Here is a 19,309-nt window from a genome sequence, read left to right as displayed (position 1 = left end):
TTCAGTACCATTTTATAATATAAAATATAACATCAACTATAAATGTGATATTGTAAAGATGGAAACAACCTCTGAAAGAAAGCAAAAAATCGCTTGGCGTGGTGGCCTGTAATCCTAGCACGTTGGAAGGCTGAGGCAGGCAGATCACCTGAGATCAGGAGTTCGAGACCATCCTGGCCAACATGATGAAACCCTTTTTTTTACTAAAAATACAAAAAAAATTAGCTGGGCGTGGTGGCAGGCACCTGTAATCCCAGCTATTCGGGAGGCTGAGGCAGGAGAATTGCTTGAACCCGGGAGGCAGAGGTTGCAGTGAGCCAAGATCGCACCATTGCACTCCAGCCTTGGGGACAAGAGCGAGACTTCGTCTAAAAAAAAAAAAAAAAAGAAAGCAAAAAATCTTACAGGCTATGGGCACTATGGAAGCAAAGGTGCTCAGAACATCTGAAAGAATAATGAAGTTTAAAGTTTCTTGATTCTTTCTTAGAGTATCTAGCATAGGGACTAACATACAGTAGTAGCCTCTCAATAAATGTTAACCAAATATAGTGTACATGTTAAATAATAAATACTTCTTGAATGAAGAAAAAATATGCCACGTCAGAGATTTTTTTCCCCCAGCTTTCATGCCTAAATTGCATGAATAAAAAAAGAGCTGTTGATCAAATTCCCAAAGGAAGGGAGATCATGTTTTGCTGATGGGGGCACAATTAACATCCACACGTAATAGACAATCCATTTCCCAAGCTGCTGGTAATCAAGATCCAGGAGTGGATCTTGAGATCTCACATAAAATCACCTAAAAGCAAAGAAGCTCTGACATCATTTTGTACCACTGTATTACACTAGAACTTATTTTTAAAAACAAAATTAAGAATTCCTACCCGAACGAGTTTTTCTGAATCCCCTCTCCATTTGCTGACAATGGTGGATGCAGAAATGTTAAAGAAGGTTGTTTTACATTCAGTGGCCACAGCTTTGGCCAGTAAAGTCTTTCCTGTACCTAAAGAGAAACACATAAAAGATGAGCAGGCATTTCAACTCCATCCCCCTGCTTATAGACAGAAGTCAGTCTCACACACAAGGAAGGAAGTGACTGCTCAGCTCTCGTGTGCCCCAGTCCTGAAGTGAGGACAGAAGGGGCAACTCATCCTCTGCACACACACTTAACACTGACATCAAAATAGGAAGCTGTGTTTACCTGGAGGGCCGTACAGCAGTAGTCCTTTCCAGGGAGAAAGAATTCCTGTAAATAGCTGTGGATACTAAGGAAACAAGGAACAAGGATGAGGTTTGGTACCAACACATCAGCCTGCATACTCTCAGCACAGACAAGCTGGGAAAGCTGAAGTCAAAGCAGCACAGCTCTAAGATTCAGGGCTCCCTTTTTTGCTTAAGGTTGTCTGCTTCTGACCGAAATAAACAGATCTTATTCATCCCAATTTTATTTTCACGCTTGATTAGAATGCCTGACAATTTTTGCAGCTTTTTAAAGGACCAATTTTTTTGGAAGGAAAGGTATATGTAGGTATTTCTTCCTCTCCGTTAAACAGTTATTTCTTACATGCATAACATCGTTTTCCCCAGACTTCTATACGGAGAGCATTTGGCAATCTTTTGAATGTTGTAAAGCAGGTATGAACTTTAAAATACATACTAGAACCAATTAGTAAAGGTTTATTCGAATAAAGTACAGAGCTACGGTGAAACTTGTTTTGGAAGTTGGGAATATTCAGGGGCAAACGCATTAAGAGACACCAACGCTGAACAGGACATGCGTAGCCTTCAGGAAGTCTCTCCTATTAGTTCAAATTCAAACAATCTCGGGAATGTGGGTGGCAAGGGTTGGTAGAGAATGGGGGAGAGGGTGTGGCAAGGAATATTAGTAAAATTACAACTAGCTATTAGTTTCATGCTAATCCTGATGTCAAATCTCCACACATATGGAGCTTGTAATGCCATGGGGACAACAAATCCAGGGAATTTCAGTGAGATGTTCTATCCTTTTTAAAAGTTTTATAGTTCCATTTAGAGGAAAAGGTGAGTAAATTTCTATTAATTCTGAACACTAGTGTATTTCTTACCCTTAAGTGTGAACACAGAAAGAAAGAGGGGGAAAAGAGAATCCAAATGTATTGATTTTTGTCTCCTTAGAGGAAAGCATCCAAAAATCAGGGGCCACATGGGCTCAGTGGTTTAAGACTAAATAGGTTATTCAATAAAATAAATTCATAATCCTAACAGCAGGAGATTACAGAAAATGGTCACAAATTATTTGTAGCTCCTTTCATCAAGAAATGGAGCCTATTTCTCCAACATTTGAATCTGGGCCTGGCCCTGTGACTTTGGCCAGTGGGACATTAGCAAATGTAAAAGACTTGAAAATATAAGACTAGCAAAAAAATATAAGAGGCATGAAAGATGCTTGTGAATTAGAACTTTCCCTTTCTTGCCTCTTTCTGGGAACCCACTGCCACCATGTGAGCAGGACTGGACTTTCCTGCTAGAGGATGGAGGCCACATGGAGAGACACCTTGGCCGTACTGCTTGTCCCAGCCTTTTCAGTCTCTCCATCTTTTCCAGCTACTCTGGCTGATGGCTCAGACCTGTGATTGAGCTCAGCCAAGAATACCACGTGGAAAAGAGATGAGCCAGCCCAGCTGAGCCCAGCTCCAACTGCCTACCCACGGAATTACAAACAAATAAATTGTTGTCTTAAGGCACTAAGTTGTGGGGTGGTCTGTTATACAACAAAAGCTAAGTTATCACTTATCTCCTCATTAACCCATTTGTAAATCAAACATGGAGAGTATTGTTTTTCTATTTTTCTACCCAGTTTGTAAACTGCACAGAGATTTGTCAGTAATAAGTAATGAGCACAACAGGCTGGCTTTGCTGGTCACTGCCCTGGAAGGGGCTGTCTAGTCTTCACAACCAGCCAGAAGCAAAGCCCCAGACGATCCTGGGGAGGGTAGGTCAGGGGGGCAGGGGTGTAAAGGAAGGATCTGTGGAAACAAAGTGAGAGATTCTCCCCTACCAGAGGTATTTCTACAACAATAAGAATATTTTTAAGGGAGCAGGCTAATTTGAATCAATCTGACAAATCATGTATACTATGGTCTTAGATTTTAAAGTTTCACTTAGCTCAGACACCTGTCTTGAACTAATATGTAATATGATTTTAAATGATCTAGAATGGACCAGGCTTTGGTGCTCCAGGGTTGAGAAAGTGCTGTGACACAAGCAAAGAGTTAACGTGTGGACAGAAAATCATCCTGCCCTTCCCTTCCTGATAGTTGTGTGACATACAGCTTGTCCAATGGATAGTGAACAGAAATAACCCCCAAGAGGCTTCCCGTCCTTACCCTTATAGGATACACAACAGCTTCTTTGACTAACTGCTTGGCTGCATCAAGTCCAATAATGTCATTCCACTTTATGTTTGGATTATGGAGATAAATGTCCTGCAATGCACATTTGATCATTTTTTTAAAACTGATGTTTTCCTCTACAGCTGTAATAAACTTGGGAGCAGCAGAATACTTGACTTACAATAGGATATAAAGTGCTGGTGATAAAAACTGTTCATATTATATATATATATATATATATATATATATATATATATATATATATAAACACATATATACATTGTAATTTTGGGTTAGTTCACCAAAGGTATGCCATGAAAATATTCAATGATTTTCCCTGAAGAAGACATTGATAACACATTGTGGTATTTTTCAGAGAGAAAAAAAAATCTCCTAACAACAGACTCTACCTGTTTTCAGTCAATAGCAAACCATGCTGATTTATAACCATAATTAAAGAAGCTACAGAATATGCCTTCAACTTACATTAGGTTTTACTGTGAAACATAGTTCCTAGCCAGTGCCTGGCCTTGCTCTTGCTCCTTGATCTCACAAACACTTTCTTAATTTGTTGCATAAAGGAGATAATGCTCCTCTGAAACCAATTTCTCTTTTTTCGCTAGCGATCATTCCCTACTTCCAGCAGGAGCAATTGCTTCTACAGAATTCAAGGAAGCTGACAACCGAGCGAAAGTGCAGTTTTTCTCCTCTTATAGAAGAGCCCTGTAGCAACCATCTAGGATAATCAATTAAGGTAGCTTTTACTGATAACTAATTTACAGTTTCCAAACTTCAATTTCACCAGACGCCTCAGAGCAGTCACTAAGGGGCCTTTCTCAGTAGGAGTTGTTTCAGGCAAACTGAATATCTAGAGTGTTTCCTCAAAAAAGCCTGAAAAGCCTTCTTTCCAAAGTCATTCTGAGTGACTACAGAAAAAATCTGAAACTAATTATTATATTTATATAATTTTTAATAAGTAATATATGCACATGGACCAAAAATATAAATACATTTTTTAAATGCTGGTGAGATGTTTGTGCTACTCCTGCTCCCCACCCATCCAGTTCCCTCCACCATAGGAGGTTCATTTTTATTTTTTTAAAATTTTTTTTAAATTTTTTAAATTTTTATTTATTTTTAATTTTTCTTCAAACTGGGTCTCGCTCTGTAGCCCAGGCTGGAGGGCAGTGGCATGATCACCACTCACTGCAGCCTCAACCTCCCGGGCTCAAGCAATCCTCCCACCTCAGCCTCCCAAGGAGGCACACACCATGCCCAGCTATTTTTTTTCATTTTTTGTAGACACGGAGTCTCACTATGTTGCCCAGTCTCAAACTCCTGGACACAAGTGATCCTTCTGCCTCGGCCTCCCAAAGTGCTGAGATTACAGGTGTGAGCCACTGCACCCAGCCAACTTTCACTTTTATTAGAGAAAGTTCTTGTTTGTTTGTTTGTTTGTTTTTTCTGAGATGGAGTCTCACTCTGTCACCCAGGCTACAGTGCAGCAACCTCCGCCTCCCAGGTTCAAGTGATTCTCATGCCTCAGCCTCCCAGGTAGCTAGGACTACCAGCACATGCCACCATGCCTAGCTAATGGGGTCTCTAGAAATGGTCTCTGGGCATATGGAAGAGATTGGTTCCAGAACCTCTCCCTGTTCCCCCCCCGACACTCTCCCCCATACCAAAATCTGTGCATACTCAAGTCCCACAGTCGATCTTGGGAAACCCACATATACCAGCTAATGCTCTCTAGAAATGGGGTCTCATTATGTTGCCCAGGCTGGTCTCCAACTCCTGGCTAATGTTTTGTATTTTCAGTAGAGATAGGTTTTTGCCATGTTGGCCAGGCTGGTCTCAAACCCCTGGCCTCAAGTGATCTACCCATCTCAGTCTCCCAAAGTGCTAGGATTGTAGGTGTGAGCCACTGCATCTGGTCTAGAGAAAGTATTTATAAAAGTACTTTGGTCATGCATGATATTTACAATCCATTCTTGGATTGAAGGGTAGAGAAAGGACTCAGTCTTCCTTATTCTGTCTATAGAGCCTGGATCTACATGCAGGCCCACCAGCCACTCACATTCTTATTACCGTCCTTTCTTAGTGAAATCTCGGCACACAAGGAAGATTCATTTACCTAGGTATTAAAAGCATCCATAGATAACAGCAGTATTTCTTGACCTCTTCTAGAGTTGAGTTCCACAAGGTAATGTTTAATTTCCCAACTGACAGTTTCTCCTTGTATCAATCCAAAGTTAACAGTCAGAACTCAACAGGACTACCTCATGAGGTGGTGAGCTCTCCGTCACTGTAAGCATTCAAGCAGGAGCAGGGTTTCTACCTCCTATGCTACTATAGAAAGGATTCCAGATGGAATCATCTCAGGCCATTTCCACTCTATAGTTCTATCCTCATAGTCATGTTACCCTTTTGCAAAAATGGTAATGAGACTATTAATTTGGGGTTACTGCAGCCTGGCTCAGTCCCTCATCCCCTCTCACTGGTAAAAACCTTATAGATGGTCTCCCCATCTCCTTTTCTTTGCTATTCATTCATCTCACTGTCATAGAACAAGCCATCCACAAGCACATGGGATGATCCCATCCTCCGACGGGCGCCTTTCTAAGGTCCCCTCTTCTATAGGTGTGTTCTCAGCCCTGGGTACTGCTCACAGCACCCTTCCTCAGGAACCCTGCCTCTCTCCACCCGTTCCCCACCACTCCCTGCTTCTTAGGTGGCCCACAGGACATGTGCACAAACTGCAATTTCTCATGGAAGTGCCTATGCCCAGAACAGCTCCTAGCCTCCCTCTTCCACTTTTTCCCTTAGCGATTTCCTGTCTTCTTTCCTAACACTTTCCCCACCCCTCCCTCCTTCATGCTCTTAAAGTGCACTTTGTCCCTGGGATGAGAAACTCTTGAGGGCAAGGACTATGCTCTGACTCGTTCACATTTGTGTCTCCAGCCCACAGCACACACCTGACACACAAGAGGCATACAGGAAACAACTGCTGAGCTGAACAGAGACAGCTCAGGAGCCCTTAGCTTCTCAGAGGAGCTGTGAATTTTGGGGATCATTTTAAACCCCCCTCTGAGCCTGCCTAGGTTTCAGTCTTCAATTAAATATGAAGCAATAGAAATTAGAAAAATACCCTATAACTCAGGAATCTATTTTATTTCCCAGGAACTTGCCCAAAGTCACACAGCTAGCAAGAGAAGGATCTAGAAATCAAAGGCAGGTCAGCTAATTCCAAAGCCTGTTCTTCACTGCCTTCTGGTTCCACAGTGCAAGCTGGAAAAGTCCGTAGTCTGGATGGTAGTCTTTCCTGCTAATTGTGTTTTTCATGGAGATTTTCAATGATGATATCATCAGACTCCCGACGTCTCTATTTCTAGGCTCTGACTTTTTAAACCAGATGCAGACATACTCTTTTCTTCTTTAAGAGGCTTTCTTTCCTTGACTCTTGGCTCTGCTATAAAACCTTTCACCTGTCCCTTCATTCCTAAGTCTTTTTCTCTCTTGGTTTTCTTGGCCTCTATCATGAGATGGTGGGGTTTGTATATTGTAATTTTATGACTCTATAATTTATTTATCATGCATTATTGTGCCTCTAAACAATATGAGTGCCTGCGCAAGTGGGGGCACTTTATAAATAAATGATCATATTTATTGTTATTAATAAAAGAAGCAGCCCACAAAGCTCCAGAAGCCCCAGCCTGCCTCCATAAATTTGTGAATTGAATATCAGATCTTACCCGGCTCACCACGGCTGCCAATTCTCGCATCTCACTGTTCATGCCAATAAATGCACTCAGAGGTTTCAGCAGTCGTTCCTGATGAGAGGAGCGGAAAGGCTCACATTACAATATTGCTTCATAATTTAGGAAGAAACCCCGGGCATGCACAGGTCTTGGTGAAACAAACGATGGCAGGTGGCTATGGCCTTTAACTTGATCTCAAGGTTTCACTGTACTCAAAATTATATTTCCAGAGTTCATCTGGATGTTGGCAATTTGAAAGATGAATGTCACATCTTCGCCACTTACTGAGGGGTCTGGATTATGGTCGAAGGTGTTCAAGGCAAGTTCACTGGTTGCTCCCTTGATGGCATCTGTGAGCAGCCCTTGGAAGTCAATGATTTGGCCCTGAAAGGGAGGAATGGTTATTTATGCCATGAGAACATAAGAGAAGACTCTTCTTAATAACTCAGTTTCATTAAACCAAGACACATTTATAGACCCTGGTATATAGGGCAAACTTCAAGTTAAGCTTTAAAAAGAACCAGCACTAGTATTAAACGTGATGATTTCCTCAAGTTGGAGCACCTTAAAAAATTGTAAGTACATTTTCCAGAATGAAGTGGATTTGAATAAAAATTCATGAGTATTTCTCAGTTCCTGACACAGACCATCTGCTTCCTCCCTTATATGTTGACTTCCCCTGTATGGTCTTATCCTCTTAAAATATTACACATGCAGAAAGAACTCATTGGCACAATGGTAATGAGAGTTCCTGTCTATGGATTGTGATACACGTTCACCACTCAATAGAGTGCTGGGTACAAAATAAGTGTGAAAGGTTCTTTGTGAGAACTATTTCTTTTTTGTTATTTTTGTATATAATTTGTATAAATTTATTGGGTATAAGTGTAATTAATTTAATTTCCACCAACAATGTATGAGTTCCCTTTTCTCCATATCCTGTGAGGATTATTTCTAATCCTTTTTTTTTTTTCCTTTAAGAGACAGGCAGGATCTCACTCTGTTATGCAGTGGCGTAATCATAGCTCACCGCAGCCTTAAACTTCTGGGCTCAAGGGATCCTCCCACTTCAGCCTCCCAAAGAGCTGGGACTACATATGTGCGCCACTACTTTTGGCTAATTAAAAAAATTTTTTTTGCAGAAGTGGGGTCTCTTTATGTTGCCCAGGCTGGTCTCCCAACTCCTGAGCTCGAGTTATACTCCCACCTTAGCCTCCCAAAGGGCTGGGATTACAGGTGCGAACCAGCATACCCAGCCTACTTCTAATTCTTATAACACTTCTGTTAGTCAGGAGTGACATCCTGGCTTCATAGATGTGGGAGTAAGTCCAGAGAGGTTAAGTAATTTGCCCAGGGCCACACAGCTAATAAATGGCTTAAGGCCAGGATTTAAACCCACTTAATCTCTCTCCCAACCCATGATCCTTCCAATATCACCCTGTCCCCCCTAGAGGTAGGAAGGAAAAAGCAAGGATGCACCAAAAAAAAAAATAATAATAATAGTTAACATTTATGGAGTGTTTACTATGTGCTAGCACTGCACCAAGGCTCTCCTTTCATCATGAGACTTAAAGGGGACGCTATGATTATTTCCACTTTACAGATGAGAGAAATGAGGCTTGGAGAAATTATAAAACAACTTAACCAACTTGCCCAAAGTTACATAGTGGGGGAGCATCTGAGCCAGGTTTTGAATCTAGACAGGCTGACTCTGAAGCCTATGCCCTCAAGAACAACATACCTACTAAATTTGCAGGGAGGGTGTCCTAAAGCTTGGATTCTGATGTAGTAAGGATGTGTGCCCCCTCCAAATCTCATATTGAAATGTGATCCCCAGTGTTGGAGGTGGGCCTGGTGGGAGGTGTTTGGGTCATTGGGGAGGAACTCTCATGAAAGGCTTGGTGCTCTCACCACTGTAATGAGTGAGTTCTCACTCTATTAGTTCACGAGGGACCTGGTTGTTTATAAGAGCAGGTCATCTCCCTCCCTTCTTGTTCCCTCTCTTGCCATGTGACATGCCAGGTCCCCTTGCCTTCCGCCATGAGTAAAAGCTTCCTGAGGCCTCACCAGAAGCTGAGCAGATCCCAGTGCCATATAGAACTATGAGTCAAATAAATCTCTTTTCTTTATAAACTACTCAGCCTCAGGTATTCCTTTATAGCAATGCAAAACAGACAAACACAGGTACTAACATAGAAATGACAGACCTGGGGTTTTCTGAGATTGGCCCCAGGCCATATACCCTCATACAACCTATGGACATATGAAATGCTAGGGAGAAAGCCATCTACATTGTGCCTTTGAGGACATTTCTGCTGGTAAGAGGATTTATAGTCAGACTATTTCAAAGGTTAAGTGCTGGGTTAAATGGTCCCTTCCTTGTGACCCAATCAAAAACATCCATTCATTTCAATGTGAGGCATTCACAAGAGAAACTTATGCCACAAAAAAGCTAGGCAAAGGTGACTGAAAACACAATAGAAGCAGTGAAGGTGAACAAGGAGACATTTTTCCAAGGGAGGTGTTGATTCCCATGGCATCATCTTCAGCAATTACCATGTAAGTGAGGCCCTTAAAGGGAGTCAGTTCAGGCCAGTGAGGTCACTGCTCTTGATTTTCAGGGATATGCTCCAGTCACCCCTCCAAATTCACACACACAGAGTTCAGTTTTTCTAAGAGCTGGCCAGAACTAAGTCAGCACTCCAGAGGTTTGAGCACTTGGCTGAAGAAAGAAGAAGCTTAAAGAACTACAACCTTGGAGAGTATGACCAAGAGCAATATGGTGCAATTCATTTCCAAATTACATGTTTTAATCTACCTTTTGACTACATCCACCCAATCTGGGTCTTTTCTGCTTAAGACATTATTATTTAGAAATCTAGACATGAGATTCATTATGAAAAAGGTAAAAATATCTATCAAGGACAAAATCAACCCTGTATCAACTGATGTTTCATGGTCCACATGAAATTACATTTAGACCAGGAGCCATCCCTCCAAGGAGAAAGGTGACACCACTAATCAAATGCCACTGACAGGACAGAGCAGAATGAGTATGCGTTTCCAACTCACTAAATAACGCAGATGTCCTAGCGCTTTGGGAAGCCCAGACAGGAGGATTGCTTGAGGCTAGAAGTTTGAAACCAGCCTGGGCAACATAGTGAGACCCCATCTCTAGAAAAATGAAAAAAATTAGCTGGATGTTGTGGTGCATGCCTGTAGTCCTAGCTACTTGGGAAGCTGAGGCAAGAGGATTCTTTGAGCCCAGGAGTTTGAGGCTGCAGTGAGCCATGATTGCACCATTATACTCCAGCCTGGGTGACAGAGCAAGACCCTGTCTCTTAAAAAAAAAAAAAAATGATGAGAACGATGCAGGATGATCATGCCAATGTTTGTCATTGTTATTACAGAATTTTTAAGCTGATGGGAACACTAGAGACAATCTCTTCCAAGCCCCTCAATTTACAAATGTGGAAACTGAGTTCCTTAGAGATGGGGCAGTTCATGCCAGCCCATTCATTCAGAAAGGAGATTCCAAAGAAGAACCCATTTTCTGACGCTCTTCTCCATTTACCTCACAGCCAACCTTCAAAAATCACATCTTAACTTTCCTGTTTGACAAAAATAATGTTTTTTGTTTTCATGTTTAAAAGGAAAAAGAAATTACCACTTTCAGTGTTAGGTTCATGAGTTTCACTTACTCTTCGTGGGTGGGCATTTTCCTCTCCACTGTCTTTACGGATTCTTGATATATGTAGGCCGAAGTTGGCACTTTCCAGGCGAGTGTTATCAACTACCTCCTGAAGAAAGAGAGACAAGGACACATCGGCTGTGAGCAGCCATGGAGAGTTGCTGGATGTACCTGCCTACTCCATCAAGCAAAGTCCGATGCTGGATAGCAATTCTGTGAACGCGACATGCACATGTAGCTTAGCCACATTTGTGCAGACCCAGGAAGATGAAGTAGCTGTCTGCCTGCACTATGTGGAAAGAGTTGTCCCTGGAAGACTGAGAAGATGCCAGGCCCCATGGGCCCCAAGCAGCTTTTCCAATGTGCTTCAAACAGTTGTGCCTCAACCCATCCCCATTCGCTGGCTCGTCTTTTCTCCTGTGATCAGGGGTGTTTTTGGCCAGGAGTGGCTGAGTTTGGAGATATGGCAGAGTCAACTAGCCTCCCATGGGACTCATCCTGCCCCACCTTCACCTCTCTTCCACATGAGTCAGGCTGCAGCGGCCAGAACCGTAGGACCTCCTTGAGGGGGAGAGAATCCTTTTGACCAATCGGATATTGTGATTATACCTTTCCGTTATTTGACATTAATTTTTTTAATTCCTTTTCTCAGTTTCCATTGGTCCTCTTTCCTTTGAAACCTGGGATGTTTAGTCCTAACTAAGAAGGTTCTGGACATGAGCCTCCTGAGTCAGGAGCCATTGACTTCTCTCACCTGCTGGATTCTCTCCTTGCTGCCCTTCTTGGCCCCCAGGAAGTCCAGCATGAAGGTCTGGGGTGAGGGCTGACCATGTGCGATTTGGAGGAGCCCAACAGGAGACCTTGAGACCCAGCCATACCTGAAATGTAGTGTAGGCTATGCCTGGCCTACACTTAGGAACCTAGCAATGTGCTCTGGGATGGGAAGACCTGCCATCTTGGTTAGCTCAGTTACCTCAGGTAATAGTTACCTCAGATGGGAGGATCAAGGCAACCAGGCCTTCCCGCTCTGACTGGGCCCTGGCCCCACCCTGGCCAATCACCCAGCACCCAGACCAGGGGAAAAACTTGGAGGAGAAAAAAGTCCTCCCACTCAAGTTAAGAAACATTAGGAAATCTAGGGATATGTCCATGGTTTTAGTCCAGTGTACTGGAAGAAAACCTAAAATTCAATTAGATCACACAGCAATTTTAAAAGCGTAGGTCCTCAAAAAATAAATAAATGTGACCTTTTTCATAGGGCTATTTTTCAGCCAAGTGTGCTGTTCACAAAGTCAAGCCAAGCCATCCTGACCTGATTAGGATGCTCCTTATTGAGCGATTTGGTGTCCCCTGTCTTCCCCGCTGTGGTTTTGGACCGGGGCCTCTGCTGATTGATCTTGGGAAGATTTTGACAACTGTCGTTCATCATCCTAAGGGAGGGAACAAAGACCTTGGAAGAAATTATTCTAGCCACTTAATTTGAGGTAGTTAAACAACTATTCTTAAGAATAGCACATTTAAGAAAGCTATTGAAAGATATGCAGGTGGCAACTATAGGGCCCTTCCACCTATGTGATCCACCCACCAGGTCCATCCTGGCCCTAACACCCTCCAGGCTACTCACTGGGTTCTTCTAAGATTGCCTCCTCGAGCCCCCCAACTCACCCTCTTCATTTCCCTTTCACACCACATAGCTTCGGCCCTTCTGCAAATAGCTTTAGTTCTTAAGAATACATTACTTTACAAGCATTCTTCCATTGTTCCTTCCACCTTCCTTAAAAGGAGCATTAGACCAGGAGAAAGGTGTGAGAGAGAAAGGAGTCCTCCCATTCAAACTAAGAAACAGTAGGAAATCCAGGGATTGGCCCCATGGTTTTAATCCAGTGTCCTGGATATACCCTGCCTACTTAAAATACCTCTCAGCATGTTATGAGTAATAAACATCAAAAGGGGATTGCAGAAGGAAAACAAACTTCCCTTCATCAATGTTGTCCCAGACCAATCATATTTGCCAAACAAATTTTCATCAACAATTGTTTACTTCAGACAAAACAAACTGATGGGGCTGGAAGTCAGAAGAGTAGCTAACTCTGATGGAGATGGGGAGAATTTGACTGAGAAGGGGCAAAGGTAGCTTGCCGGTGGCTGTAACTGTGGTTACAAGAGTATATACATTTACTGTATACATAGTTATATATGTGGTATGACTGTATATATGTTATATATCCATAGAAAGATCAAATCACTTTTTTCACTACATCCTCATAATTAGATATAAAATTCAGTATTGGAATATCCATATTTTTCTGTAGAAGATGCCATCCAGAGAGAGACAGGACTAGCTTGTGGGGGCAGAACATGAACTCCCACATTGTTGCTTAGTTCTCTTAGCACTTTTGTCCCCATATGTGAGATGCATTTGCAGAAGGTTCGTTAGAAGCAAGTCTCCCCATGTTCAGAGTGATCTCAGAGAGCTGCTATTTCAACTTCCTTTCTTTATGGGGATAATAAATGTTCATGTCTAATATAAATGCACAACTATTTGGCCAGCAAGACCACACATGTCGATAACACCACCAATGTCCACATGGTGACACATCTGTGAGTGTTGGTCTCACTGGGGAGAGCGTCATGAGAAGTGGACACTAACAGTTCTTGGGGTTTTTTTTTTCTATCTTTAAACTAGGAATAAGAATGTCTTTCTCTACCCTTTTGCTGGCACAAAAATAAAATATCTATGAAATGAAAACCAAGCATTTTACAAATGCAAACTTATATTAATAGTGTTGACTCAAGAGAAGTTATATATGTGTGTGTGGAAGTGTGTGTGTGTGTTTATGTGTTTGTGTGTGTGTGTGTCTGTATTTAAACTTGCCTCACCATCCTTGTGGAGCTGGCAGGAAACAGGGATTCTATATTCCCACTTTGATTTCCCATTGGATGCAACTGATCCCCAAGATCTGCTTTAACAAGACCAAAATACAAGAGCACTAATGTACAAAGCAATGCAATTTATTTTAAATTGGTTCTGAGGATGGTAAAATTCTTCTGAACATGGAACCAAATTCACTCTGCTTTGACTTTAACCATTAGTCCTAGGTGCACCCTGTGGAATTTGGCAGAAAAGGCCCAATCGCCCTTTAGAGGGTGAACTGAAGCCTGTTCCTGCAATGTTCTAAGGAGTGCCCCTCCACCAGCCATCTGTTCAAGCTCAACATCTGCAGTTGCTCTAGTCATTTCTAAAGTTACCTGGTTCCCAGATTGTTCCTCATACTGGTCACCTTCCAGAATAGTGTGACCTCCTATTTTTTGGACACTGTATTTCTATTGATGGGGCTGGGACCACAGTAGCACTCATGTCACACTGTTGGCCCAGGTAAACTGAGATTTCCAGGTCTCTGATTTTGTAATGGAGGAGCTATTTGTTGTAACTCTTGTTAGAGCTTAAACCTTATTTTATTAAATTTCGTCTTGTTACTTTGAACCCATCTCTGGAATTGCCAAGATCTTTTGGGATCCCATTTCTGTCATCCATCACATTAGATAACCTTTCCTCCCTTGGTTCATCAGCAAATCTTTAAGTGGGGATTATAAATCTTTTCCAAGATTAGGAAAAGACACTTTGATTTGCTAATAGCCAGTCTCATGACATGTCTCATTTTAGTAACTATATTTGAGTATAAATTGTCCGCAGAAACACCATTCATTACTTTCCTAGTTATTCCTCCTGATTCTAACCATTTGCTATTCAACTTTTACACTTGCCACATACAAACATCTACTCAGAGAGGAGCTGAGGAGCCCCCACACTGTCAAATGTGCCACGGTGCTCCTTGCCTAAGGGGAACAAAGCACTCTGACACCATTCACTCACAGAGCATTTGCCAGGGAAGAATGCTGAGAAGGTTCCAGAAAAATAGAATCCAAAAGCCTTCCGAAGCTGGCTGCAAACGCTCCTCATGATTTCTATGCACAAGCAGTTATCATTTATTACCCAGAGTCTGACTAACTTTGTGGAAACTATAAATAAAAGAATAACACTTTTGTCAAAGCGATAAAACTCTTCCTGCAGAATAGCACAAAGCAAAGGTAGCCCGAGGCCAAGTATTATAACAAGTAGGATCGTGGAGCGTGCGTGGGCTCCACAGCCATTTTTGCAAGCTGTGCCCACCAGCCCTGTAAAGTGTCCTAGGCCCTTCCTTCTGAGGCTGGAACAAGGGAACTGGAGTCGCAGGGGTGGGAAATGTAGCGGAGGCATAACAGAATCCATACCTCTTGAGGGCCTAATAAGTTGCATGTGATTACAATCTAACTTTTCTTTTTCCAAGAGCATTTTAAGACTTTAAACACTTTGTTGACTGCTTGGATGGCTGTGTCTTTCCATGAGGTTTAGGCCCTACTGTAATAGCAACAGCCCACAGGTTGCGATGCCCCAGAGCTGGCCCTCACTGGCAGCCGGCAGCAGCACCCTTGTTCCCCTGGGTATTTCTGAACAGCTCTGACAGTGGAGGGGTCTATGGGAGTGGGGCGAGAGGAATGCGAAGGACACTGGCAAGAGTAGGGGGCCTTGTGAGAGAATATGTGCACCCAAAAAGGTCCAGAGACAGAGGGGCTCCCATCAGAGGCTACAAGCCCCAAATGAGATTTGGACTTGAGAAGCTGGAGAAAGGAATGCAAGATGAGCTGTGAACAGGAGGGAAAAGCAAGAGAAGAATGGGTCCCCACTGGTCAGGACTGGCGAAGCCAGAAGCCTGAGCTCACACCTCCTGGCTCATTGTTGATCTTCAGACAGGTCAGGACATCTGATCTGGGAGTGCTTGAAATTAACTAAATGATGAAAAGAGGGAAAATATTATATCTTGGGTGCTCACTGTGTGCCAGGAACTCACTATGTGTCCAAAACTTGCTCCATGCTTGTAAATAGCAGAGCCAGGAGTTGAACCTGGGTCTTTTAACCTTTGAGGTTAAGACTTTTCATACCACATGGCCTGGAAAGACAGAGCATCACAGGATATACTTATTTACAGTAAAACCAGGAGAGTAGACGGACATTGGCCCAAATCTGGGGCAGCTGTAATGAGAGAAGTCCTGGGCTGGGCCAGGTCACATGACTGCAGTCAGTATTGCTGGGAGACAGTCACAGAGCTGTGATGGTAAAGCTTCTGGAAAGGGATTCCACAAGCTCCTCGAGCCGAGTCGATTAAGAAGAATTACCATTCACTTTACCTTCTGGTCTTCCCTCTACTTCTTTGCGGTAAATTATTTTCTGCTGTGACAAAACAGACATTGGGAGGGAAAGAAAATAATTTTAAGAGTGACAAAGTGATTTTTTTCAGGTATGTTTCCCCTTTTTGCATTGTTCTTAAAATTTGAGTTTTAACCAATTGGAATCTAGAGACTTTAAGCTATTCTCATCTAGAGAGAACTGAAATTACCAGCGAAGAGAAAGAGGCCTGAGCTTCTCCAGCATCTCCTCACAGAGGAAGATTGCAAAGGGCTCAGATATTAAACATGTCAGAGACTGTGGACCTGGTGGCAACTCCAATATAGGCTAGCTTTACAGCTACCATTTCATTACGCTTTCATGAACTTGACACCATTTTGCTGCATTACATGGGACACCAGGATGATTGCACGAATCTGGCAGGGAACACTGAAGTCATACTCTGCTAGTTAAAATAAAAATAACGTGTCCAATATCATAGGAGAATTTGGGTATCATGCTAGATGGGAACTAGCCATCTGGAAGTGAGATCATGTCACTAACAGTGCTGATCACCCTGTGTTTAGGAGTCTGGGCTGTCTCTTCAAGGCCCACATCTAACCACCTGCCAAGGAAGTCAAGCTCTGAATGCTGCATTGGAAGGGAGCTCAGATAAAATACCTCTTTGACCTTTTCTAGCTCTGAGATCTGGCCCTGGCTATTTTAAATTGATGTTCCTCTTGGTTTCCCGGTCCCTACATGAAATGTTAAAGTCTGTGGCTTAACAAGTGGCTTGTAAACAGGACAATGATCTCCCTTGGTTTATAATTACTTCCCCCACTTACAGACTTCTCAGTCAATGTTACTACAAAGCACAGGGCCCCCACTTTAGATCTTTCCTCCAGCCAGCCTTGTTGACTGCTAACCTATACTGGGTTTTTATATTATATTGATCATTATCTGGATTGATGGCTTTCAAAAGCTTTTCATTATCTATACATGAGCTATTAGCTTCCCCAATACTCATTTTTGTAGTTATTTTCAAGACAGATAATAGGTCTCCTAAAAACAAAAAAAGTCTTCTGTCATTTATCCTCTTCCAACAGTTCTTTTCATCTCTAAGGAAATTAAAGTAATGCTAATCATCTGAAAAGTACCTATGATACACTGGGGTTTTGCTTTCATTGCCTGAAAACACATTTTCTCAAACAAATGCCAAAGTGCCTAAAGGGATATCAGTGTCCAGGTAATCATATTTCAGTTGTCTGTGCTGGATATGAGAATGGCTACACAATCCTCCTGGCCTACTCCTTTGGTGCAGGGTGAGGGTCTCCATCTATCTGGGAATAAGATGAGAAAGAAACACTAATCTTACAGATGAGACAAAGCCTTATCTCTAGAAAATAGGCATGTACCTGTGTCTGATGACTTTTTGACAATTTTGGGGTATTTCTGAAATTTTACAAAATAATAACTCTCATATTCCATCAAAATAGTTTCAAGATCAATGTTGTCACAAACTTCAAACCGTCGTAACCCCAGTTTAGTTTCTTGCTCCAAAGCATTTGCTGTATCGATATACCTGGCAGTTTCACAGAATAAAAAGAAGAAATTAACTGAGGTGAAAAGAATAATGGCTAACAGGCATTACAAGTCTAAAGGGATGCAATACAAAAAGTAAGCCTATATATAGCACATTAGATGAAAACTAGTATGTGCATAGGAGGTTTGCCTATAAAGAGCCCCATATTTGTTAAGTATATTTAACTATTATCTTTCAAAGCAGTTGCCTTTGAAAGTTACATACTTATTCTGGTGATGTCACCGTTGTTAAGGATGTTTTTGGAAGTGCTTAAAAGTCAAATAAGTAAATCAACCAAGAAACATCTTGTGATTTGTCTTTACTCATTTGCAGCCTAAAATGGGTATCTGCCCAAACTTGGTTACCTCTTTATTCACAGGTATTCATTTTAGGTAACATTTGGCAAAATGATAAAACCCAAATTCAACCCAAATTTGCCATCATTGAAGTAATTCACATTAACAAGTCTCGAGCACTGAAGGAAATTCCAAAGATCTACCAATCAAGATCATCAAAGAACTTTCATATAAGATAACATCCACTTGGAATGTATTATTTGTTTCTGGTAATTTTTTAATCAGTCACACATTGCACTTCAGAGTGTTTCTGTATAAAAGTAGTACCTTGATCTTTGTTCCTTACTGTCATTTTTAACTTGTTCAGTTGTAAAACTGTCCAATATAAGTGGCCTTAGCACTGGAAGCAAGGGCTGTGTCTCAAAATCCTCTGAAAGAAGAAAGACTCTCCAGGTCTTAAATTTTAGTTCTTAACTTCTTTTAAAACCAACAATTTTCTCCTGAAAAGTGTGCACATGTGCAAATTAGCATACAATTTCAGGAGCTCATCCAAGGACCCCAGATTCAGATTTCTGCTGCAGGTTAGAGTTCTTTCTGTTTCATTTGAATCTAGATCCAGGAAAGTAGAAAGAGAAAACTTTCTTTTTTAGTAGCCCTCCTCTTCTCTCTCTTTCTTTCTTTCTTTCAGACAAGGTCTCCTTATGATGCCCAGGCTGCTTTCAAACTCCTGGCCTCAAGCAATTGATTCCCTTCTTGGCCTCCAAAGTGTTGGGATTACAGGTGTGAGCCACTATGCCTAGCCTGAACTTTCTTAAAAGAAGATGCCATGATTATTTTCAATGACCTTGAAATGTATGTATCTCTCCTAAGCTAATTTTAAAGAAGCTGCAAACCACAGTCAGTTGACTCTAGCCAATCACCTTCTATACTTTTTCATGTCTCACCATGCTTCTATACTATGTCTTAATCCTCATTTTACAGAGAGAAAAACTAAATCAGTTTTTTATTAATAACTTTAGTATGGAGTAATACATATTCACTTAAGAAAAAACTAGAAAATACTGGTAAATCAAAAGAAAATTCTGCCCCTCAGAGAAAATGACTAACATTTCCTCTGTTTTTACAAACTTTTTTTAACCTTTTTTTTTTTTCTTTTTAGAGACAGGGCCTTGTTCTGTCACCTAAGCTGGAGTGGCACAATCTTGGCTCACTGCAGCCTGGAACTCCTGGGCTCAAACAATCCTCCCACCTCAGCCTTTCAAGTAGCTTGGACTACAGGCGTGCACCACCACGCCCAGCTATTTATTTTATTTTATTTTTTGTAGAGATGCGGTCTTGCTGTGCTGCCCAGGCTGGTCCCGAACGTCTGGTCTCAAGTGAGCTGAGCTTGAATGAGGTTTGAATTCGA

At 41.9% G+C, this 19,309-nt stretch overlaps 1 protein-coding gene across 25 annotated transcripts in view; it reads right to left on the bottom strand.

Moving 5' to 3' along the window:
- The window catches only part of KATNAL2 (katanin catalytic subunit A1 like 2), a 184,650-nt gene that overhangs the window by 31,759 nt on the left and 133,582 nt on the right, over positions 1–19,309 (bottom strand). For 10 of the 25 annotated variants that reach the window (NM_001353899.1, NM_001353901.1, XM_047437879.1 and 7 more), the window contains 9 exons: positions 17,439–17,605; positions 16,047–16,089; positions 12,133–12,250; positions 10,831–10,929; positions 7,415–7,513; positions 7,124–7,201; positions 3,366–3,464; positions 1,202–1,265; positions 885–1,003 (listed from right to left, as the gene is read on the bottom strand). In NM_001353899.1, coding sequence (NP_001340828.1) covers positions 885–1,003; positions 1,202–1,265; positions 3,366–3,464; positions 7,124–7,201; positions 7,415–7,513; positions 10,831–10,929; positions 12,133–12,250; positions 16,047–16,089; positions 17,439–17,605 — 886 coding nt within the window. Of the gene's footprint in view, positions 1–884; positions 1,004–1,201; positions 1,266–3,365; positions 3,465–7,123; positions 7,202–7,414; positions 7,514–10,830; positions 10,930–12,132; positions 12,251–16,034; positions 16,090–17,438; positions 17,606–19,309 lie in introns of those variants that run through there. The other 15 variants (NM_001353900.1, XM_047437880.1, XM_047437878.1 and 12 more) reach the window with 8 other exon arrangements.

This window comes from Homo sapiens, chromosome 18, assembly GCF_000001405.40.
Source record: "Homo sapiens chromosome 18, GRCh38.p14 Primary Assembly".
Lineage (NCBI taxonomy): Eukaryota > Metazoa > Chordata > Mammalia > Primates > Hominidae > Homo > Homo sapiens.
The sequence above is the reverse complement of the archived record's forward strand: the minus strand, read 5'-3'. Positions and strand labels throughout refer to the sequence as shown.